This window comes from Homo sapiens, chromosome 9 (assembly GCF_000001405.40).
Source record: "Homo sapiens chromosome 9, GRCh38.p14 Primary Assembly".
In the NCBI taxonomy this organism is placed as follows: Eukaryota; Metazoa; Chordata; class Mammalia; order Primates; family Hominidae; genus Homo; species Homo sapiens.
Window position 1 is genome coordinate 94305223 of NC_000009.12, and position 24210 is coordinate 94329432.

The 24210-nt window shown below is 49.7% G+C and overlaps 1 protein-coding gene and 1 long non-coding RNA gene across 3 annotated transcripts, besides 1 other annotated feature; one reads left to right on the forward strand and one right to left on the reverse strand.

The window, feature by feature from the left end:
* The first annotated feature begins 4729 nt into the window (after positions 1–4729).
* Positions 4730–18780, forward strand: LOC105376154 (uncharacterized). Of its 2 annotated transcripts, none has more exons than XR_930132.4 (3): positions 4730–4769; positions 9639–9788; positions 18520–18780. It is a non-coding gene; the product is annotated as an uncharacterized LOC105376154 (long non-coding RNA). The 2 variants fall into 2 exon arrangements; XR_001746842.3 differs by lacking the exon at positions 4730–4769 and adding an exon at positions 8952–9408.
* Positions 12976–23422, reverse strand: NUTM2F (NUT family member 2F). Its single transcript, NM_017561.2, has 7 exons — positions 23386–23422; positions 20016–20712; positions 16979–17107; positions 15871–16010; positions 14986–15371; positions 14391–14507; positions 12976–14028 (listed from the first exon to the last, which is right to left on the reverse strand). The coding sequence occupies exons 1-7, from the start codon at positions 23399–23401 to the stop codon at positions 13243–13245; spliced, it is 2271 nt and encodes a 756-aa protein (NP_060031.1). The 5' UTR covers positions 23402–23422; the 3' UTR covers positions 12976–13242.
* Positions 13263–13942: an enhancer, noted in NCBI's record as "H3K4me1 hESC enhancer chr9:97080767-97081446 (GRCh37/hg19 assembly coordinates)". NCBI's record gives its function as "activates a minimal SCP1, AML or CMV promoter by ChIP-STARR-seq in naive H9 embryonic stem cells {active_cell/tissue: H9 hESC(naive)}" and the evidence as "EXISTENCE:reporter gene assay evidence [ECO:0000049][PMID:30033119]".
* Positions 23423–24210: the final 788 nt, after the last annotated feature.

Sequence of the window (24210 nt, forward strand, 5' to 3'; positions counted from 1 at the left end):
AAGACTCCATCTCAAAAAAAAAAAAAGAAAGTGTGTGTGTGTGTGTGTGTGTGTATGGAACTTTTTAAAAAATAATATCTCTGCTAGTTACATCTGAAACCTCTCTTTTAGATAAAAATGGTGATGAAAGAAGGGGAAAAGAATGATTTAATTGGGTTAATAGAAAACCACACCAGAAACGAATATTAGTGTTTTATGGAAATAAGAAATCTATGCCTGGCCAGGCGCAGTGGCTCATGCCTGTAATCCCAGCACTTTGGGAGGCCGAGGCAGGTGGATTACGAGGTCAGGAGATCGAGACCATCCTGGCTAACACGGTGAAACCCCATCTCTAATACAAAAAATTAGCTGGGCGTGGTGGCGGGCGCCTGTAGTCCCAGCTACTCAAGAGGCTGAGGCAGGAGAATGGCGTGAACCCGGGAGGCGGAGCTTGCAGTGAGCAGAGATCACACCCCTGCACTCCAGCCTGGGCAACAGAGCGAAACTCTGTCTCAAAAAAAAAAAAAGTTAAAAAAAAAAAAAAAAAAAACTATGCTTAACACTACTACACAACATTCAGCTATAGGCCTTTTGAAAAGAAAAAACATACCACCAAAACATCTTTCGGGTTACTCCGTTTGAACTCTGGAATATGATAAACCTGGCTGTTAATACCTAAAAACAGCACAAAATGAAATATAAAATTAGTGACTCCAGGCCAGGCATGGTGGCTCACGCCTGTAATGCCAGCACTTTGGGAGGCCGAGGCAGGTGGATCACCTGAGGTCAGGAGTTCAAGACCAGCCTGACCAACATGGAGAAACCCTGTCTCTACCAAAACTACACAGTGGCAGGCGCCTGTAATCCCAGCTACTCGGGAGGCTGAGGCAGGAGAATCGCTTGAACCCAGGAGGTGGAGGTTGCTGTGAGCCGAGATCGCACCATTGCACTCCAGCCTGGACAACAAGAGAGAAACTCCATCTTAAAAAAAAAAAATAGTGACTCCAATTTTGGTAACATTGGATTAAGATAAAATGTTTAGGAATAAGTTTAATAAAAAATGTTCGAAACCAACAAGTAGAAAACTATAAAGCACCACTGAAACCAGAAATAGACTTCAATAAATAGAAAGGCATCCTCTCTTCTTGGTGAGAACATCTCAATATAATGAAGATGTCAGTCTCACTAACCTTATAGTTTACAAAATTTTGCAATCATTAAAAATTCTAATGAGTTTTTTCATTGACGTGGACTATAAGTTAATCCTAAAATCCTTACGGAAAATTAAAGAATTGCAACAAAAATGCTGCACAGGAAGTGCTTTAGAGGGACTAGCCCTTCCAGATTTGAAAACTTGACAAAACCTCTATAATTTAAACAGCATAGTAATGGCACATGAATAGGTCAAAGTAACAAAAGAGCAGAATGCATTAAAAATGCCTATCAAAAGGTGGAATATCAAATCACTGTGGCAAATACTCTTTTAATAAATGGGACATTGACTAGCCATTTCAAAAGTAATAAAATTCCATTCCTCCCATCATACATGAGAATTTATAATGGGTCAGAGATTTCAATGTGAAAAAAATTTTATTTTTTCACGTTGCTAGAAGAAACATGCTAGATACTAGAAACATGCTGGAAGAAAACTTGGATGAAATAATCTTTAACCTGGTATAGGGAGAGGCTTTCTAATTCTAAATCCAGAGCCAGTAAAGGATTAATAAATAATGTCTACAAATACCAAAAAACGTTTGCATGGACAAAGTGTACCATAACATCAAAAGACAAATGACTACAAAAAATCTTTATCAACATGTAAATCACCATACTTCACTGATAAAGGGTTAATCCTGAGGCCGGGCATGGTGGCTCACGCCTGTAATCCCAGCACTTTGGGAGGCTGAGGAGGGCGGATCACCTGAGGTCAGGAATTTGAGACTTGCCTGACAAACATGGTGAAACCCTATCTCTACAAAAAATACGAAAATTAGCCAGGCGTGGTGGTCCACATCTGTAATCCCAGCTACTTGGTAGTCGGAGGCAGGAGAATTGCTTGAACCAGGGAGGCGGAGGTTGCAGTGAGCTCAGGTTGCGCCATTGCACTCCAGCCTGGGCAACAAGAGTGAAACTCCATCTCCAAAAGAAAAAGAAAAAAAAAGGGTTAATCCTTACTTTGTAAACGTTTTAAAAATTGAGGGGAAAAGATTAGAAATCCTATAGAAAAGTGGGCAAAAGTCATGCACAGACTCTTTACCAAAAGATGTATAAACATATGAAAAGATGTTCAACTTCACTCATGGTAAGAGAAACGTAAATTACAACTACACTGAGATACCATTTCTCACCCATCAGATTGTCAAAAACTTAAAAGCTTAACCGTACTCTCTACGGATAAGACTGTGGAGAAACAGGCACTTTCATACATTGTTGGTGGGAATGCAAAATGTTTTAAGTCCTATAGAGGGAAGTTGGCAGTATTTAATTAAATTATATATACACATACCTGTTGACACAGCAAGCAAGCGCAGGGATAAATAAGAATTTATCCCTTAAGAGTCACCTCCAGGCCGCATGCAGTGGCCCACGTCTGTAATCCTAGCACTTTGGCAGGCCCAGATGGGCGGATTGCCTGAGCTCAGGAGTTCGAGACCAGCTTGGGCAACATAGTGAAACCCTGTCTCAACTAAAATACAAAAAATGAGCCAGGTGTGGTGGCAGTTGCCTGTATTCCCAGCTACTCAGGAGGCTGAGGTATGAGAATTGCTTGAACCTGGGAGGCAGAGGTTGCAGTGAGCTGAGATCATGTCACTACATTCCAGCCTGGGCAACAAAGGGAAACTGGGCCGGGAGCTGTGGCTCATGCCTGTAATCCCAGCACTTTGGGAGGCCAACACGAGGTCGGCAGTTCAAGACCAGCCTGACCAACATGGAGAAACCCCATCTCTACTAAAAATACAAAATTAGCCAGGCGTGGTGTCGCATGCCTGTAATCCCAGCTACTCGGGATGCTGAGGTCCTGAACCCAGGAGGCGGAGGCTGCGGTGAGCCGAGATCACGCCATTGCACTCCAGCCTGGGCAACAACAGCGAAACTCCATCTCAAGAAGGAAAAAAAAGAGTCACCTCCAGTGATACGAATTACAGGTGCACATGATTACTTGTCAGCGTTATTTATAGTTGCAAAATATTGGAAGTTGCTTGGACATTCAAGCATAGGAAATGGATTGAATAACACATGATGGAGTCAAATATAACCGTGAAAAGAATGAAGAAGGCTGGTCGCGGTGGCTCACACCTGTAATCCCAGCACTTTGGGAGGCCAAGACGGCGGATCACAAGGTCAGGAGATCGAGACCATCCTGGCTAACACGGTGAAACTCTGTCACTACTAAAAATACAAAAATTAGCCAGACGTAGTGGCACATGCCTGTAATCCCAGCTACTCAGGAGGCTGAGGCAGGAGAATTGCTTGACCCCAGGAGGCGGAGGTTGCAGTGAGCTGAGATCACACCACTGCACTACAGCCTGGGTAACAGAGAGAGTGTTTGTTTCAAAAAAAAAAAAAAAAAAAAAAAGAACAAATGTTTTAGAAGATAATTTTAAGATATGTAAATAACCTTTTTTTTTTTTTTTGACAGGGTAGGGTCTTGCTCTGTTACCAAGGCTGGAGAGCAGTGGAACAATCATGGCTCACTGCAGCCTCTACCTCCCGGGCTGTAGCCATTTTCCCACCTCAGCCTCCCAAGTAGCTAGGACTATAGTCGTAATCTGGCTGGAGTGCAATGGCTCAATCTCAGCTCACTGCAACCTCCGCCTCCCGGGTTCAAGCGATTCTCCTGCCTCAGTCTCCCGATTAGCTGGGATTACAGGCATGCACCACCACACCCAGCTAATGTTGTATTTTTAGTAGGGACGGTTTCTCCATGTTGGTCAGGCTGGTCTCGAGCTCCCGACCTCAAGTGATCCACCCACCTCGGCCTCCCAAAGTGCTGGGATTACAGGCGTGAGCCACCGTGCCAGGCCCATGTTAGTTTTTAATATTTTTTTTAATATGAGTGTGCATATAGTTGTTAGTATGTTATTTTATTATCTCTTAAATGACTACGGGATCTGTGGTTATATCTCCTCTTTCATTGCTGGCATCATTTTTTTGTTTTCTTGTTTTTTTGAGACGGAGTCTCGCTCTGTTGCCCAGGCTGGAGTGCAGTGGCGCGATCTCTGCTCACTGCAAGCTCAGCCTCCTGGGTTCATGCCATTCTCCTGCCTCAGCCTCCCGAGTAGCTGGGACTATAAGAGCCCACTACCACGTCCGGCTAATTTTTTTGTATTTCTAGTAGAAACGGGGTTTCACCATGTCAGCCAGGATGGTTTCGATCTCCTGACCTCGTGATCCACCCGCCTCGGCCTCCCAAAATGCTGGGATTACAGGCGTGAGCCACCGCACATTGCTGGCATTCTTAACTTGAATCTACTCTATTATTTTAGCATCAGAAGATTATGAATTTTACTGATTGTATTAAAAAGCAATTTTAAGCCAGGTGCGGTAGCTCAAGCCTGTAATCTCAGCACTCTGGGAGGCCAAAGCAGGCGGATCGCTTGAGGTCAGAAGTTTGAGACCAGCCTGGCCAACATGGTGAAACCTCATCTCTTCTAAAAATCCAAAAATTATCCGGGTGTGGTGGCGTGCACCTGTAGTCCCAGCTACCTGTGGCAGGAGAATGGCTTGAACCCAGGAAGCGGAGGTTGCAGTGAGCCAAGATCACACCATTGCACTCCAGCCTAGGCATGGTGAGACTCCATCTCAAAAAAAAAAAAAAAAAATTAAATTGTATTGATTTTCTCTTTTCAATTTTATTGATTTCGTCTTTTACCTATTATTTCCTGTCCTCTGCGTGCTCTGATTTTATTTTGCTCTTTTTCTGGTTTCTTTAGGTGAAAGCTTAAATTATTGATGTGAGACTTTTCTTCTTTTCTAATATAAGCTTCTAACGCTGATTATTTCCCTCTTCACAATGCTTTATCTGTACCTTACCACGTTTTATGTTTTATTTTTATTTAGGTCTGTATTATTTTTAATTTCCCCCAAGATTATAACTCATGAGCTATTTAGAAGAATGCACTTCAATTTCCAAATGTTTGAGAACTTTCCTTTCCTTCTCATGTTTATGTAATTAAAGCTTATACTATAGACACATTAGATTAAAATTCAATTACACTTGTTTAGTTACATTGTATAGGTTGTTCAAGTATCATTGGAGCAAACTTTTCAAATATTAACTTTATGTAGTGGTTGTCAGTCTTTTGCACTTGTAGAGTGGCAAGTAAAAAATACCCTGAAAATATGGCCCTCAGGCCGCTGGAGAAGCTCACAGAGACAGAAATAGTGGGAATTTTCTGATTCCTCAGTGCTCATTACTTTCTAGGCCAGCACACAGGGATCCAACAAAGCCAGAGTTAGTGTTCATTAAAGGGCAGTGGGATAGAAGGATGGAGAATGCCCTGGTATCACCTAGCTGGTTCTAATGACCCATGCAGGATCCCATGGTATAAGCTGGCTTGTAACATAACTCGTTCAAGACTCCTTCTGTGCATTAATGAGCGAATCTGTATTTGAACATGTTCACATGAACAGATTGGAAGAGACGATAAATTTACCATGAGCAATCCCTTTAGGATTGGTTTTAGGAACTTACTGATCCTGTATTCATGTTGGGCATTTGTCTGTTGTATTTGCTGTCACAGAATGTCTTTTAATCCCAAATACGCTTCTACAGATCCATCCAATACAAGTCCCTAGTCGTGATCTTTGGAATGAAGTAATACATTTCAAAGAACATTAGAAGGAAGGACTATGGCAGGAGAGATGGAATTGGTCCTTCAGAGGACTGGGATGAAGATGAGAAATGAACCAGCATTAGGACAGCCTTAGTCTCAATACATTTGCCTAACATAAGTTCAAAGGGCACAGTTGTATGCACAAAGTATCCTTGATGACATCATAACTCAGAATTCAGTAAAACAGCTCATCAGGTCCCTCACAGGGGATGTGCTAGGGTGGTGGCCACTCTTGAGACTCTGTGCCCAGTGATGAAAAATAGTATGAAGGTTGTTTAAAAATGAAAAATAGAATTACCATGCTATTCAACAATCCTACTTCTCAGTATATAACCTAAAGAATTAAAGGCAGGATCTCAAAAAGATATTTGCACACCCATGTTTATTGCAGCATTATTCACAATAGCCAAGAGATAAAAGCAATCCAAATGACTTTGGTGGATGAAAGGATAAAATATGGTGTATATATGTGTATTTGTGTATATATATATGAAGACTAAGCAGCCTTCGGAAAGAAGGAAACCATGTCACATGCTAGAACATGGGTGAACCTCAAGAACATTATGCTAAGTGAAATAAGCCAATCACAAAAAGACAGATTTTTTTTTTCATATGAAGTATTTAAAGTAGTCAAAATCACAGTAGTGGTTGCCAAGGGCTGGGAGTGGGAGTGGTGGTGGTGGGATTAGTGTTTAATATGTACAGAATTTTAGTTTTGGAAGATGAAAAATTTCTAAAGATTAAGAAGTAAGAATATACTTAACGTGTTAAGTATATTCACAATGATGTAAACATACTTAACATTACTGAACTGTATACTTTAAAATGTTTTAAATGATTTTTTTAAAAAGCAGCAGCATAGGAATAAATCTTCATGACCTAGCACTAGTTCATGATTTCTTAAATATGACACCAAAAGCACAAGTAACAAAAGAACACATAGATAAATTGGACTTCATCCAAAGTAAAAAAGTTTTGTGCTTCAAAGAATACTGTCAAGAAAGTAAATGATGGCCAGGCGCGGTGGCTCAGGCCTGTAATCCCAGAACTTTGGGAGGCCGAGGCAGGCGGATCACGATTTCAGGAGTTCAAGACCAGCCTGGCCAACATGGCAAAACCCTGTCTCTACTAAAAATACAAAAATTAGCCGGGCGTGGTGACACATGCCTGTAATCCCAGCTACTGGGGAGGCTGAGGCAGGAGAATCCTTGAAACCAAAGGCAGAGGTTCCAGTAAGCCGAGATCACGCCACTGCACTCCAGCCTGGGCAAAGGAGCGAAACTCTGTCTCAAAAAAAAAAAAGAGGCTGGGCACAGTGGCTCACGCCTATAATCCCAGCACTTTGGGAGGCTGAGACAGGTGGATCACGAGGTTAGGAGATCAAGACCATCCTGGCTAACATGGTGAAACCCTGTCCCTACTAAAAATACAAAAAAAAAAAATTAGCCAGGTGTGGTGGCACGCGCCTGTAGTCCCAGCTACTCAAGAGGCTGAGGCAGGAGAATGGTGTGAACCCGGGAGGTAGGGCTTGCAGTGAGCCGAGATCGCACCACTGCACTCCAGCCTGGGCAACAGAGCAAGACTCTGTCTCAAAAAAAAAAGAAAGGACGACCAATGGAATGGGAGACTATTTCTGCAAATTATATCCTGTAAAGGATTTAAAAATACATATATATAAATAAAATATATATTTTCTTTTTATTTTATATATAATATATTTTTCTTTTTCTTTATTTTATGTTATATCTAATTTATATATTATATATTATATATATTATATCTAATTTATATATTATATATTATATATATTATATCTAATTTATATATTATATATTATATATATTATATCTAATTTATATATTATATATTATATATATTATATATAATATATATTATATATATTATATATAATATATATTATATATATTATATATAATTTATATATTATATATTATATATTATATATATTTTATATTATATAATATATATAATATTATATAATATATATAATATAATATATAATATATAATATATTATATATTATATAATATGTATATAATATATTTATATTATATAATATGTATAATATATTATATAATATAAATATATTATATATTATATATTACATAATATATATTATATAAATATTATATAATATATTATATATATTATATAATATATTATATATTATATATATATAATATATATTATATATATATAAAATATATATTATGTAATATATAATATATAATATATTTATATTATATAATATATATTATAATATAAAATATAATATATTATATTTTATAAAATATAATATATAATATATATTATATTATATAAAATATAATATATATTATATTTTATATAATATAATATAATATATTTTATATTTTATATAATATAACATATATTATATTATATATTATAATATATAAAATATATTATAATATAAAATATATATTATATATTATAATATATATATAATTCACAGTAGCCAAAAAGTGAAAACAACCCAAATGTTCATCACCTGATGAATGAATAAGTTTCAGGATATCCACCAATGGAATATTATTCAGCAATAAAAAGGTTTGATGTAATGATAGATGCTAAAAACATGGATGAAGCTTGGAAATATTTAAAGTAAAATAAGACAGGTGTGAAAGACATATATTGTATGATTCCATTCATATGCAAGTCCAGAGCATGTAAAGCTATATAGAATCAGTTCGTGGTTATGTAGGCCTAGGATGTAGATCGGTGGGGGGCAGGGGGTGATAGCTAAAGGACAAGGGTTTTTTTTTCTTCTTCATTTTTTGAGATGGAGTCTCACTCTGTCACCCAGGCTGGAGTGCAGCGGCACTATCTCGGCTCACTGCAACCTCCGCCTCTCCGGTTCAAGCGATTCTCCTGCTTCAGCCTCTCATGTAGCTGGGATCACATGTGTGCCACCATGCCCAGCTGATTTTTGTATTTTTAGTAGAGGCGGGGTTTCACCATGTTGGCCAGGCTGGTATTGAACTCTTCACCTCAAGTGATTCACTCACCTCGGCCTCCCAAAGTGTTGGGATTACAGGCGTGAGCCACTGCACCCAGCCTAGGGGTTTTCTTTTTGAGGTGATAAAAATGTTCTAAAGTTTATAGTGATGATGCTTACAAATTCTATAAGTAGACTTAATGCAGTGATGGTTGCAAATTCTATAAATATATTTAATGTGGTGATGGTGGCAAATTCTATGAAAAACCCAAATTGTACAATTTCAATGAGTGAAAGCATGCTATGTGAATGTCTTCATAAAGGTTTTATTTAAAAAATGAGCAAACGGTAGAATGTTAACATGGCCCACGTCTATGTGGTGTCTATATTGGTTTCTATTATATGTTTTCTATGTGGTTGAAACATTCCTAATAAAATGTGCATAGTTTTTTAAAAAAGAAAACACATCAGTGGACGTGAATGCAGGATGTCTTATGAATGCTCACACAGAAGCTCTCATTCCTGAGGAATGCAGGGAAAAGCAGAAGATGGAGTAGGAGTTGGCATGGCCCAGCTAGCTCAGATGACACACGATGGTCCCAGTGGCATGACTTGGTTTGTGCGATTTGTGCTTTGGGGTTTTATTTTGGCACATTATAAAGGAGTAAAGCCTGTATACAGTCAGTTTCTGTCTATTCTAATGAAGGGCAAGGGGATGAAGGGATTTACCTTGAGTAACCATCCACTTAACATTTATTAGGAATCTTGTGATCCTATCGTCACCCGTGAGATTTCTATGTTGTTTGTGTTTAATGTCAGAGAATATCTTTTAATCGCTCATACAGTTTATGCAAATACCGTATACGTGATAAACGTCCCTACAACATGATCTTTGGAATGAACTAAGACAAAGGAAACTCTGAGGAAGGACCATGGCCTGAGAGGTGGAATTCATCCTTCCGAGGACTGAGATGAGGACGGAAAATGAACCATCGGTAAATACAACCTTAGTCCGGATACATTTGCCTAAAATGAGCTCAAAGGGCACAAGTGTGCAGACAAAGCATGCTCAATGACATCATAACTCAGAATTCAGTAAAACCCAGCGTATCAGCTCCCTCACAGGGGATGTGCCAGGGTGGGGGCCACTGTTGAGAGTCTGCACCCAGTAATGGTCAGGGACTCAGTGACAATGACTCTGGCAGCCCTGGCCGGGTATCAGCCGATTGGCCAGGAGGGGGCAGCCTGGCCCAGATCCCCCAAACCAGGTGACTCTCACTAACATTGCCCAGGGCACCAAGACCTGAAGGACATCATGGGATGCTGAAGTTAGAATCAAAGTGCAGCTACAAAAGGGCAGCCACCTGGAGCAAGTCCATCCTGGTAGCTGTCAGAAAGCACTGCATGTTTACTAACGGGGGCCGGCCTTGCTCACATTGTCAGATGGAGTTTCTCAGGAGGCCATGGCTTCTTCAGGGATCTGTTGTCCAGTGGTGAAGGGAGTGGTTTCTGGAGGCAAACCTGCCCGGGGCCGCCCCAACTGCACTGGCTCCCAGAGAGTGACCTGGCTGCGTGAGCAGGGAGACCAAACCCACCGAGAGCCTCAGCATACCCCCAGCACCTGCTGTGAGCAAGCTGCTTGGCTTCCCCAAGTGTGGATATGACGATGTCATGGGTGTTTACAGATTCCCTTGCACTGTGTCCCACAGCAGTACTGGTTCACGTGTGATACACTGCACTTGGGGTGGAGGTGTGCTGACAGTCGTAAAGAGCCGAGCCTTTCTTCATTCTTTCCCATGGCTCTGATACAGTTTCCAGATACCAGTCAGGAAGGAAGTTCCTGAGATGATGGACCTTGTCCTAGTCACATAGGGCTGCTAGGACAAAGTGTCCTAGACTTGGTGGGTGGGGGAGGCGGTGCGTATTAAGAAACAAAATGTATTTGTCAGTCTGGAGGCTGGAAGTCTGACGTTAGGGTCACAGCAAGGTGAGGTTCTGGTGAGGGCTCTCTTCCTGGCTTGCAGACGGCTGCCTTCTCACTGTGTCCTCATGTCAGGGAGAGAGAGAGAGTGCTGGGATCTCTGCTTCTTACCATGGCCCTAATCCCATCATTAGGGCCCCACCCTCATGTTCTCTTCTAACCCTGAGTAACTCCCAAAGGCCCCATCTCCAAATACCATCACGTTAGGAGTTAGGGCTTCACCACAGGAACTGGGCGGGGGGGACACATGTTAAGTCCATCAGAGTCCCCCAGTCAGCCCCACTGTGCCCATTTAGGGGCAGATTGTAGGGCTCAGGCGGGACACAGAGGTGAAGGAAGCATAGGTTCTGCCTCTTGGAAATGGCTCAGCCAAAACAAGGACAGGGACAGTGGGGCAGGAAACAGCTAGTGGGGTAAACCAGCAGAAGCCCCGAGGTGTCACTAAACCAAGGTATCACTTTCACACTTAGGTGAGGAAGTTGGCTGAGCACCCACACACGCCAGAGTACAGACCACATTCCCTTCAAACACGGCTCACTTAACATTCCTAAACCCTGCAAAGGGGAGGTGTTACCTTGTCTCCTGAGGATGGCCCTGAATGTAGAGGAGTCACGGGAGCTGCCCACATCACCCACCAGTGACTCTTCACTCCCCACATTTTCCCCAAGGGCCTGTTGTGCCCTCAGCTGGGGAAGCCCTGCCAAGATAAACTCTCCTTCCCAAAGGCGAAAGCGGGTGGCAGGCCTCCGACACTGCCCACATGGAGCGGAAGGGATGGGGCAGAGAGGCATCTGTCTGGCTGACTGCTGTGTTCTGTGGGCAGATGGGGCCAGAGAGAACCCAAACATGGCTCCCTTTGTCACTTGGCAGAGGGACCAGGCCGCCATATACCAGAGAGCTTTGCCCCATCAGCTTCTGCTGCTGGGCCAACTCCCAGCACCATGACCACAGCTCTGCATGCGGGCAGTGCTGGGACCAGTGCTCTGGCAGTCACAGCGGTCCTGAGCCAACAAGGGCCCTGGGGAGGAATCAGAACTCAGACTGTGGAGAAGAAGGTGTTGGCCAGGAGGGAACCAGGGCAGGTGCTGGGTCCTGTCCATGCTGGGATCTGAGATTCTGAGAGGTGGGTTAGGGGTAAGGGGGGCAGAGGTCGGCCACATGGGGTGAGGGGAGTTCAGCAGAGATGGGGAGGACAGGACAACCTGGGAAAAAGCAGAGTATCCTCCCCAGCCTCAGTCCCTCTCCTGATGCAGTCCTCATCTCACTCGTAGACTCCAGAAGTCTCCCTTCAGTGAACACCTGGCCCCCGACTCTCAGGGCACTTCCCAGACAGCCAGTGCCACATCCCAGGCAGCCCCTGCTCTGCCCTTGGGGTCTGTGCCTGGCAGAAGGGCGACTGACCCTCGGCCCCTCTCGGCCTGGGCCCCAGCTTCTCCTGGCCCTGGGACCAGCAGACACACCCACCTTGCGCCTGGCAGGCTGGTCATGCTTGTTCCCGTTGGTGATGGTGTGTTGGGAGGGAACTGTTTTAGATGCCAATGTAAATCTGTGTCTACATCAATTCCACACGAGTTCAGTCATCATATGGGAAGGGAATCATAGCTGTTGGGGGAGCTCCATGCAAGACCCTGAGGGCCCCTGAGGCCATTCCATGTGGCCACAGCAAGGAGCATCTGCTTCAGCCAGTTGGACAAGACTCTCTCCTGCCCAGAAACAGGCCCCTGCTCTGCGCCCCTCATCATATCCCAAACACACCCATGTGGACGGTCACCTCAACGTCTCCCCTCAGCCCAGTGCCCGTGCTCTTCCTGATGAGGGTTAAGCAGGAGCAGCCGCCTCTCCCCATGTCCATGTTGCAGGCAGCTGCCTTCTCCTCAGCTCCCACCGAGCAGAAAAAAAGCCAGCCAGCTCTCTCCATCCCAGGATTTTCCAGGGATACTGATAATGATGGGAGGCCCCGAGAAGCCTCCCTAAAGCAGGCGGGGCCTTGTGAGTGGATGGTGGGAGGGATCAGGGCTTCCTCAGCATCTGTCAGTCCCCAGAGCATCTGAAGGGGCCCCCTATAACAGGAGAAAAGAGTGGGGCCAGCCCCTGTGGGTTCCCAGTGCCTGGCCTCTCCCAGTTCCTCAGCCCTGAGGCCTCACAGACACCCTCCACAAAGCAGCACAACGCCAAGGGCAGAGGCAGCAGCCCTGAGAGCATTTTCCAAAACAACTACATTTATTCACATTTACACACAAGGCCCCCAAGGCACTGCTTCCCACCCCCCAGGCCCTCCCTTCCTGCCCTCCCCGTTCAGCCACCTTCTCCCTCCCCTCCTTCCCCTACCCTCCAAAGCTAAGGCCCAGCAAGATCAGCACTGGAGGAGAAGCAGCCTTTGCTTTGGGGCACCGGGTGCCATGAGGGTCCGAGACTTCAGAGCCCCACTTTTGGGGACTGGCATCAGAGAGTCTGCCCCATGGCGGCCCCTACTGGCTACAATGCCGCTTCTTCTTCCTCCTGGAGGCCAAGGGGTCACCCTTTCTCTTTTGAGACTGTGAGGGGCCACCCAGCCCCCAAGCCAGGGATTGCTCCCCAGAGACCCTGAGCCCAGGCCCTGGGTGCGGTGTCTTTTCAGCAGGGGATGGGCTTCCAAAGAGAGGTCGCTTCTTGGACTTGCTGGCAGGAGAAGGTGATGGGCTGAGGCCTCTTTTCTGAGCAGATGGAGACTGAAGAGCTCCCTGGGGTCCTCTCCCTCCTGGGCTGAGAAGGCCCGAGGAAGGGACAGGGCTCTGGGACAGCCTCCAGGGCCTCAGCCTGTGGTGGGAACCCACGACATAGACCATGCCAGGGAGTTCCGTCTCCTCACTTGACCCCTTAGCCAGCCCATGTGACTCCTTGACAGGAGACTCTCCAGGGAGACCCAAGGCGTCCTTGGTCCCCAGGCCGGGGCAGGTGGGTCTGTGGTCCTGGGGAGGAGAGGTTGGCCGGACAGCCTTCAGCCTGGGGGAATCCTGACATCCCAAAAGCACAGCAGGGTCTTCGGACCTGGCCATGCCAGTGCGCACTCTGCCCTGTCCCTGAGGGTCCTGGGCAGCTGTCTGGGGTGGGGAGGTTTCCACGCTGACCCTTTGTTGGGGGTCAGGGACCTCTCTCGCTGCTTCTTGGCCAGCTGCAAACTCAGAAGGACTTGAGTCCAACCTGGCCGTGCCATGTCGAGGGGCTGCCCTCCCGCACCCTTTCTCCTTCAAGGACAGGAGGCGCTTCTCCACTAGCTGCGGAAGGAAAGGGGGCACTTACTGGCGCTGCCCCAGGTGTGAGCAGGGCCCAGAATGGTGGAGACCAGGGCACTTGGGTGGGAGGCAGGGAAGCCTGAGGCAGCTGGGCTTCATGTCAAAGAGAGAGGGTGTGGCTCTGCCGGGCATCCCGTTGGGCCTCACTGCAGCTTGCATCCTGACTCCCCTCCCTGGCTCCTCTCCATCCTACTCCCTCTGAACCTGCATCTTCCCACCCCGGAGTGGCTCCCCAAGAAGCTGAACATCCCCAGCAGGGTGGGCTTAGACAATCGGGTGGGCCTTGTGTGCCGGGTCCCTCCTGCCCCTGGAGTACCTGGGTTCCCCTCCCTCCGCTGCTCTACCTGGGCAAGGGTGAGTCCTTCCTCCTGCTCCAGCTCCTGGCTTAGGGCCAAGAAATCCATCTGTGGATCTGGGGAAAGCAATTCTTCCAGGAATCGGGGGTGAATGACGGCCTCCACCTGGAAACAGAAGGAAGAAGGTGTGAACTTCCTGGGGAGGGAGTAACCTGGAGCCAAGGACACCCGGAGGAGATGCAGAAAGCGGGGAGGGCCCCATTCCCACCCTCCTGGGGCTGTTTCATATCATGGCGACCACCAGCTACACGCACAGACCACAGACCTCGTAGCATACACACATACAGACAGAGACACACAAACCACACACAGACACACAGACCCATGTACAACACAGGAAAAGACAGACACAGGTAACATACACACTCCACACTCACACCCACACAGACACACAAAGACACAGTAACAAATCACAGACACAAACACACAGCAACACACAGACACACACAGTCACATACACAGACACTCAAATCCATGGAAATACACATACTACTGAGTAGCTAAGGAACAGAGCTTAATTCCAAGGACCTGGAAGTGCCACCCCCTGGAATCCTACAGACCACAGCACTCCAGGCAAGCCCACCTTGGTGACAAAGTCTTCCTGGGAACACAGCTTGTCAATGTAGCTCAGGAGGCCCGGGTCTGAGGTTATCCCGTCCTCTTCCTGCGGCTGCTCCACTTTGCCCTTTTCCCGTTGTCCCTCAGGCTCCCCTGTGTCCCCAGGGTGAGACCCCAGCAGCTCCTCCATGATGTCCACATACTCCTGCACCACTTCAGGGGGGATCTCCTCAGGGACCTTGGTCTCCGCTGGCCTCTGGGGCCTGGGTGGTGGCAGGTGGGCGTTGGTCTCCGCTGGCCTCTGGGGCCTGGGTGGTGGCAGGTGGGCCTTGGTCTCCGCTGGCCTCTGGGGCCTGGGTGGTGGCAGGCAGGCAGTCGGGGCCTTGGGGCCATCCTTGCTGGGAAGGTACACTGAGGCAGAGAGGGAGGAGGATGGGTGTGGTGAGGGCCGCTCCTCCTGCCTGCACCACACAGGGGAGGGCAGGGCTTGGGGATGTGAAGTGGGTCCCAGCTGGGTCAGGACCACCTGAACCACAGCGCCCCGGAGGAGACGCCACAGGAGGGGCACATCTGAGACAGCATCGCTTGGGAGGAAGTTTGGAGCCACCGATATGCCGTGTACTCTCCCCGCTCATCTCTGCTTCCTGGGCAGAGCATATGTGGAGTTTTGGACAGGCAAGGGGAGAGAGAAAGTAGGAAACTTGGCCCGGTCAATACCCTGCTTCGTGATCACGGGCCACCCATGAAGTAGGTATTCACCTGGTCAATACCCAACATACACTCCCGGAAGCTGTCCTGTTGGAGGGAGCAAATCCCCCTCTTGAAGGGAAGCATGGGGTGTGGGGACAGTGGCCTCCCTTGGCCCCTTTGGCCTTTGCCATGGCTCCTGTGGGAATGTGGGAAGCTGTACCTGGCTGCTTGACCACCTCAGGGGCAGGGGGTCCTCGAGGTTCAAGCCTCGGCGGGGCTGGAGGAGGCAGGCTCTGGGGCCCCTTCATCCACTGCGATTTCTGAATCTGCATCTCCTCCTCAGCCTCAAATTCCAGGAACCTGTGGGTGAAGGAGGCCCAGGCTGTGCTGAGAGGGTCCAGGCCCCCTCCCCCCAGGACCAGGCAGCAGCTGAGGGCAGGGATGGGAGGGAGTGCCTCCGGCGGGCTGTCCAGGCCCTCACTGGGACCCATCCCCCAGTCCCAGGAGGGAGCTGCTCCCAGAGTTCTGGGCTCACCCTCCCTCACCCGGCCCCTGCAGAGCCCATGGCATCAATGGGGCTTCCTGACTCAAGTCAGGGCCACGAGGTCCAGGAGGGTCCCGGGAACCCCTCCTCCAGGTATCAGCTGGCCGGGGGTGGGGTTGATGGCAGAAGGCGTCAGGGATGATGCCCAGATGCAGGAGTCCTGAGGCTGGGACTGTGGGCCCCTGAAGGATAACCCAGGGACACGAGGCCCGGGAGACCCCTGGTCAGGAGGAAGCAAAAGCTGAGCCCAGAGGACAGGGCCCGTTTCCCCTGAGGCTGCTGTCTGTCTGTCTTCACGGACGGTTCTGCCCAGGAGCAAAGGCAGTCAGGCCAGAGAGGGGTCTCATGGTGTCCCAGGTACAGGTCTCCCCTGACCCAACTCCCTGGCCAGGCTGGGATGGGAGAAAACCGACTTCTGGCCACTGCTGTGAGGAGCCTGCCCCCCACTCTGTCTTTAGTCACTAGCACCCCTTCTCCCCATCCCCACAGCTGGAGGAGACCCCCTTTGGGCTGCGATGCTGGCTGCTCCCGCCATGACCCCCAGTGTCAAGACAGCGGTTGGCCCCAGGCCAGGCAGGGGGTGCTTCCCAAGAGGGCGGGACAGAGACCCCAGAGCACTCTAGGTGTCAGGAGCAGCTTCCTGAGGGAGCCAGGGGCCCAGGGCATCCTGTGTTTGTCCACACCCTCCTCATGCTCCATGCTGAGAAGCCACCACGGCCACCGGGCCTCTGTCATTCACTCTCACCCCGCCACACGGGCCCTGCCCCCAGGACCCCAGACTCACTTTTCCGCCATCTCGTAGAAGATCATCCGGTCAAAGTTGCTCGTGTGCTGCCATTCCCGCATGGCCTGCCACAGTCCCTCCTCCAGCGTCATGGTGGGCTTCCGCCGGGCCAGGGATCGGAGAACTGGGCTGTAAACCAGTGCAGTCAGTCCCAGTCTGTAAGCCCACCCTCCATCCCGGGCCCACCTGGTCCCAACACCTGGCTCCTGTCCTCCCCACACCTGTCCTGCCATCTGTCCCTGTCCTGTTCTCCCCCATGTGGGCTCCTCAGCCTCCAGGACACACCCCCAAGATCCAACATCAATAGAAGCCACTGAGTGGCCTCTCCGACTGCCTCTCAAGTCCTCGGTGTTATGATGTTGACAAGCGAACTCAGTGCTATGGGTGGAACATGTGTGTCCCCAACATTCCTGTGCTGAAGCCCTCAGTGTCAGTGTGTCAGTATTTGGAGGCAATCAGGGTTAGAGCAGGTCATGAGCGTGGGTCCCAGTCATGGAATCCGAGCTCTGATAAGGGCAGGAGGAGACACCAGGGCTCTTGCTCTCAGCCACAAGAGCACACAGCCAGAGGCAGCTCTCTCCAGCCAGGAAGAGGGCCCTGACCAGACACCCAATCCGCTGTCACCTTGATCTGGGACTTCTGGCCTCTGGAACTAGGAGACATGAATGTGTCTTGATAAAGCACCCAGTCTATGGGATTCGTTACGGCAGAGCCTGAGCTGACTGAGACACCATGCACACAGAATGACCTGGGAGCGAGGGTTAAAGTGCAGGTTCCTGGGCCACAGGACTGAGCATTTAACCAGCTTCCTGGGGACTCTGGAGCAAGGCAGCCCCTGGGGACACAGCCTCAGGGTCCTGGAGCTTGAGGAGCAGGAGCACACGTCCAGAACCAAAGCAGAGCGGTGTCCAAGCCACTGCAAGCAGCCAGGCACAGCTTCCCACATTCCCACAGGAGCCAAGGCAAAGGCCTGTGAGCCCGGGGCGGCTACACTCCAAGAATCAGGGTCCCCAGTGCACCGGGACTCCGCTCCAAGGGGGGATGCAACCAGTTCCAGGGTGTGGGGGCAGCGAGACTGTTGGGGAGGAAGACGGGGCCGCCTTCACCTACACCCCAGGCAGGGGACTCCCCTAGGGGAATGGCCAGTGTGTTGCACGGTGGATATGCTCAAGCTCCTGTTTGCTCATCAGCGGGAAACACAGGGTCACAGAGGTGCCGCGGGGTGGAGAGAGGCAGGGACTGGGAATGAAACCACAAACTCTCCCAGATGCTGATGTTGCTGCCTCACAGTCACCACAGTCCACGGCTCTGGGCTGCTGGGCTCGTGGTGCACTCAGAGCTATCACTGGAGCCCGTGGCTTTGGGGAGCACTCTCCTAGATGGCCTAGTCCTGATAATGGTAGTAATGGGGACAGTAATCATAACTGCTGTCATGTAATGTGTCATAGTATGTGCCAGGCACTGTGCTACGTATGTCATATGTGAGCTCAGGTCATCTCTTTGCCATCCTCTGAATGAAACACCATTGTCCTTTTTTCTAGGGGGGATTGACGGTGAAGATGCTAATACCTGCCCAGCATCGACCCTAGTGCGGGTCCCAAGACCATCCCCCTGTGCAGGCTCCACCACCGCTGTGCTAACTGGACCGCGGCAGAACAGTGTGGGTGTGTGCCAGGTTCCTGCTGGGCCCTGCAGCTCCTCCCCCCAGCCCCATGTGATGTGCCCCTGGCCATTGACACTCAGTTCGAGGGAAGGCACTGGGGTGTACACTCAAAGACCTAAACCCAGGGTGGGTGCGGTGGCTCACGCCTGCAATCCTAGCACTTTGGGAGGCTGAGGCGGGTGGATCACAAAGTCAGGAGTTCAAGACCAGCCTGCTCAACATAGTGAAACCCCGTCTCTACTAAAAAATACAAAAAATTAGCTGGGCATGGTGGCGGGCGCCTGTAAGCCCAGGTACTTGGGAGGCTGAGGCAGGAGAATCGCTTGAACCTAGGAGGCAGAGGTTGCGGTGAGCCAAGATCTCACCATTGCACTCCAGCCTGGGTGACAGTGCGAGACTCCATCTCAAACAAACAAACAAAAAAGACCTAAACCCTAACCGTGGCTCATGTCACACCAAGAACGCTCTCTGACCTGGGTCTTCTGTAAACATTGTTGTGAAAATTATTGAAAGTGAAAGCCAGGCACGGTGGCTCATGCCTGCAATCGCAGCACTTTGGGAGGCCGAGGCGGGCGAATCACCAGGGCAGGAGATTGAGAGCATCCTGGCTAACATGGTGAAACCCCGTCTCTACTAAAAATACAAAAAAATTAGCCGGGCATGGTGGTGGGCACCTGTAGTCCCAGCTACTCGGGAGCCTGAGGCAGGAGAATGACGTGAACCTGGGAGGTAGAGCTTGCAGTGAGCCAAGATCGCGCCACTGCACTCCAGCCTGGGCGACAGAGTGAGACTCCATCTCAAAAAAAAAAAAAAAAGAAAAGAAAAGAAAAGAAAGTAAGTATTGGGGCGGGGCATGATGGCTCATGCCTGTAATCTCAGCACTTTGAGAGGCTGAGGCGGGCAGATCACCTGAGGTCGGGAGTTCAAGACCAGCCTGACCAACATGGAGAAACCCCATCTCTACGAATACAAAATTGGCCAGGCATGGTGGCACATGCCTGTAATCCCAACTACTCAGGAAGCTGAGGCAGCAGAATCACTTGAACCCGGGAGGCGGAGGTTGTGATGAGCTGAGATCGCGCCATTGCACTCCAGCCTGGGCAACAAGAGTGAAAGTCCATCTCAAAAAAAAAAAAAAAATTAAGGATTGGCTGGACTCACGGGACAGTGACAGGCAGTTGACGTGAGGCCCCTGACAGTCTGTCCTGAGCCGCAGCCAGATTAATGTTGCTGAAAACGTACCTTCCCATAGCACAACCCATCACCCTCACAACCGCCCTGCAAGCTCCCCTGAACAGTGTGACCTCCTGTCCATCCAGCAGCCTCTTTATGAGTGAGCTGCAGGACAAGCTCCGGCGCCCCGAGGACACTCACATGAGGAAGCAGGAAAGCGCTTCAGTGTCAGGACTCTGGGGAAGGTGCCTCCGGGCCAGGGGCTTGTAGTGCTGCCAGAGTCGGAAGTTCTCATAGACACTCTTGGGTTTACAGGAGTCGTCCGGCCGGGCCTTGGCCTGGGAGGGAGCCAGGCTGCCCTCTCCATGAGCCCCTTGTGGCCATGGCCTAGCGTTCCCTGGGGACACGATGGGGGCCACCTGGGCAGCCGGTGGTGGTGGTGGAAGAGGAAGGCCATGGGACCAGCCTCCCTCACAGGCCTGGGTGCCCCCAACCACCTGGGCAGAGGTAACGGGCACCCCAGGAGCAGCTGCCAGGAGTAGGGGAGGTGGACACATGACACCTCCACAGAGGGTGCCTGGAGCCTGCCAGACGAGGGGGGCCTGAGTTAGGATCAAGGTCTGTGCCTGAGGGGGCTTCACAGGCCCCACTTCTGTCCTCATCTGGACAAAGACGTTGGAAGCCCCGGCCCCACTCGGGCCGCGGCCATCCTGTCCTGCCACTAGAGGGGTGCTGGGGAAGGCAGAGAGCACCAGAGGGCCGGCTGGAGGAACCACTGCAGTCACGAGGGGCGGCCTGTGTGCTGGGCCGGGAGCGGGTGTGGCAAAGGGCAGAGCCGTGAACACAGACAGGGAGGTGCCAGGGTTCACGGTCACGCCGGGTCCCAGCACTGGGTATGCTGTGGAGACAAAGGAAAGAGGTGAATGAGCTGGCGTCTCCAGGTCCACACTAGTCACTGGGGAATCAGGGGAGTCCCAACAGCTGAGGGCATGTGACAGGGAAACTCTGCAGCTTGCAAGTGTCCCTGAGTGTGCATCAGATGCTCTGTTCCTCCACGGCAGAGTCGCTCCACTAGAGAGCCTGGCGCCAGTCACCAAGACTCCCTGACCCTTGTCTGCCAAGAAGAAACAGCCAAGCCTTTGCTGTCTCTGAGGGTCTCCCTCGGGTGTCCCTGGCAGACTGCACCAGCCTCACAGGCATCTCCCAAGCCATGGGTCAGGGATGAGTCTCTCGGTGGCTTGGTGGCTCTCAGTGTGCTCAGCAGCAGGTGAGGGGCCTACCCCAGGGCAGTGCTCGGCATTCAGAAGGCCGACAGGAAACCAGAAGTTTCCGAATATTATGGCCCCATCTCCTCTTCAGTCTTCCTTTCCCTGAAGCTCTTGTAAACCCCTTTCTTTCCTAGCTCAACACAACAAAAGAAAACCACTGGATAGGCCGGGCGTGCTGGTTCATGCCTGTCATCCCAGCGCTTTGGGAGGCCCAGGCGGGTGGATCACCTGAGGTCAGGAGTTGAAGACCAGTCTGGCCAACGTGGTGAAACCCCGTCTCTACTAAAATACAAAAATTAGCTGATGGTGCGTGCCTGTAATCCCAGCTACTCAGGAGGCTGAGACAGGAGAATTGCTTGAACCGAGGAGGCAGAGGCTGCAGTGAGCCGAGATCGTGCCACTTCATTCCAGCCCGGGTGACAGAGCGAGACTCCGTCTCAAAAAAAAAAAAAAAAAAAAAAAAGAAAACCACTGGATGGAAACTCACCCAAGCCAGTGCCCTAGGAACCCTGAAGATAACCCATAACACATCACGCCCAGCATGCAAGTGATTGTCCTGGCACCACCCACACAAGTGTTAAATAGGGGTCAGATTCAGGCCACCCATTCCTCAGTGCTCAGTGGTCCCAGCTGCCACTCAGGAAGCTCAGTTCCCAGGGAGCAGATCTGAGAAGCAGTGGTGGAGTCCCCTGAGATATTGTCATTGTGTAGCCAGCAACAGCTGCACATGACTAGAACACAGCCAGCAAATGGTGAGCAGCAGGGCTATCAGGGGAGGTGTCTAGGGATTTTCTTTTTTTTCTTTTTTTTTTTTTTTGAGACGGAGTCTCGCTCTGTCACCCAGGCTGGAGTGCAGTGGTGCGATCTCAGCTCACTGCAACCTCTGCCTCCCAGGTTCAAGCACTTCTCCTGCCTCAGCCTCCTGAGTAGCTGGGATTACAGGCGCCCGCCACCATGCCCAGCCAATTTTTGTATTTTTAGTAGAGACGGGGTTTCACCATATTGGTCAGGCTGGTCTTGAACTCCTGACCTCGTGATCCACATGCCTTGGTCTCCCAAAGTGCTGGGATTACAGGCGTGAGCCACCGCGCCCGGCCAGGGATTTTCACAGCTGCTAGTCATGTTACACTAAATAGTGGGACAGGGAGCCCATCTCTGGTCCTTCTCCTTTGAGCTCCCAGTAACTGAACATAGGGACCAACGAAGAACCAGGGGTTCTTGGGCCACAGGCCAGGTGAGGCAGAGTTGTCTGGAACTCATCCCTGTTCACTAGGACCTCATGCAGTCTCTAGCCAAGGGGAATAAGGGATACAGCACATGCACCTCATCAGTCAGGACACACATCCTAGTTTGAATAATAATAATAATAGGACTGTCTTCCTATTTGTGCGCTACTCTCCTTCCTCTACTGAAAAGGAAACCAGCCTTTTCAGAGCCTTCCACTGAGAACCAGCAAGAATCCACACCTGTCGCCCGTTCATGAGGTAGTATAAATGGAACAGGAGCAAATTCTTCACCTCCACAGTAACACAAAGTACAGAGGACGGGCCATGAGCTAGCTGACGAGAGGAAGTGGGTCTGAAGACCTGAGCTTCCACCAAAGGGCAAACAATTCAGAACAACTCAGGAAACCCAGGCCCTGTGTTGCCTGAACTTCCCCATTCTGCCCCCACCCCTGTTAAATCAAAGCCAACAGCTACCTGAACTGACGGAGAAGCCATCTCTGGGGAGGAAGCTGAGAGGCTCTGGGCTGTGGCAGTTGCAGTGGCCCCCAGCCTTGCCCACCCAGAGGCTGTCACTACATGCTCTGTCACAGCCAACCCACCCAACAGTTTTCTGGCTGAGACCACTTCTCCCCACTCCTCTCTAAGAACTAGAAAACTCCAGTCCAAATCCCTCTAAACACTATGGAAGGGCACCTTCCAGGTGCCTGAAGACACGGCACAGGGCTCAGGCTTGCCCGTCATTCTCCCTGGGCCACCAGCACAACACGATCCCACCACTCCCTACAAACACAATGACGTGACCTGTCCCCCTCTAGAAAGGATCAACCCATCCTCTCCATCCTTTCCACTACACGGTGTATTCCCCCAGGCATCTTGGTCCGCCTCTAAGGAGCCCTCCTCCCTAACCACAGACTCAGGGTGCCATGGCCATCCCCAGGTGTGATGTCCCTGGGGACATCCAGTGCTCCCTCCCTCAACATCAGCCCTATAAGCTGTCCCCAGGGACAGTTCAAATTTGAATTCCCAAGGAGTTGAGGCAAGGCAGACTCGGATAATGCCCCATCCCTACAGGCTCACCTCCATTTGAAGCCATCCCCTCAGGCTGGGCACTGACCACCACTGTCTGGCAGCTTCCGCAATGAAAAAAGTCAAGGGCAGGACCCAGAGAGTGACCTGACTCAGCAGATCCTCCTGAGTCCAAGTGGAGCAGGGATAATTTGCATATAAACAGGTTTGGAACACAGGACCCCAGACATTCTGCAGAGGGGGAGGGGCAGTGGGCAGCCGGGCTTGGCGGGGGTGGGGGACATTCTGTGAAGGGCTCTGGCCAGTAGGCAAGAACCTGAGGTTCCCTTGGTTCAGTTGGTTGCCATCCAACTGGATGGCAGCAACACAGACAGTGTGCGCCTCTTTAGGCAACTTTTAAATTGTCCTTCTGACTCACAGCAAAAGCTTCTACCTGATGTCCCCTTTACTTCCATTCTTTATCAACAGACCTACTTTTGTGCCAATCAACCCATGCTCCTTCCCACTTTGGCTCTTTCCCACTCTTGATGAATTTCAACAGGGGCCACACTTACTTAACAAAATTCAGAACACGTTTTCAGTCTGAGAAACACAGGGGTTCTTAGGAAGGCAAGGGGACTGAGTGTTTGAAATCAGAATGGCCTCAGCTGATCCAGGCTATTAGGTGGCTGTGTGCTCATCATTGTTTAGGAAGCAGTCCTTGTGCCCCCAGGTCATGTATGTTGCTGGAATCTGTCCACACCAGTAGGCCAGCCTTACTTCCCGTCCCCTTTCTTAGGAAGACTCAGTCCAGGAAAGAGAGGCTATGTGACCTACAGCACCGAGACCAGAAATCCTTTCATTTTGTTTCCCAGCATATTGTGCTGGTGTTAAATG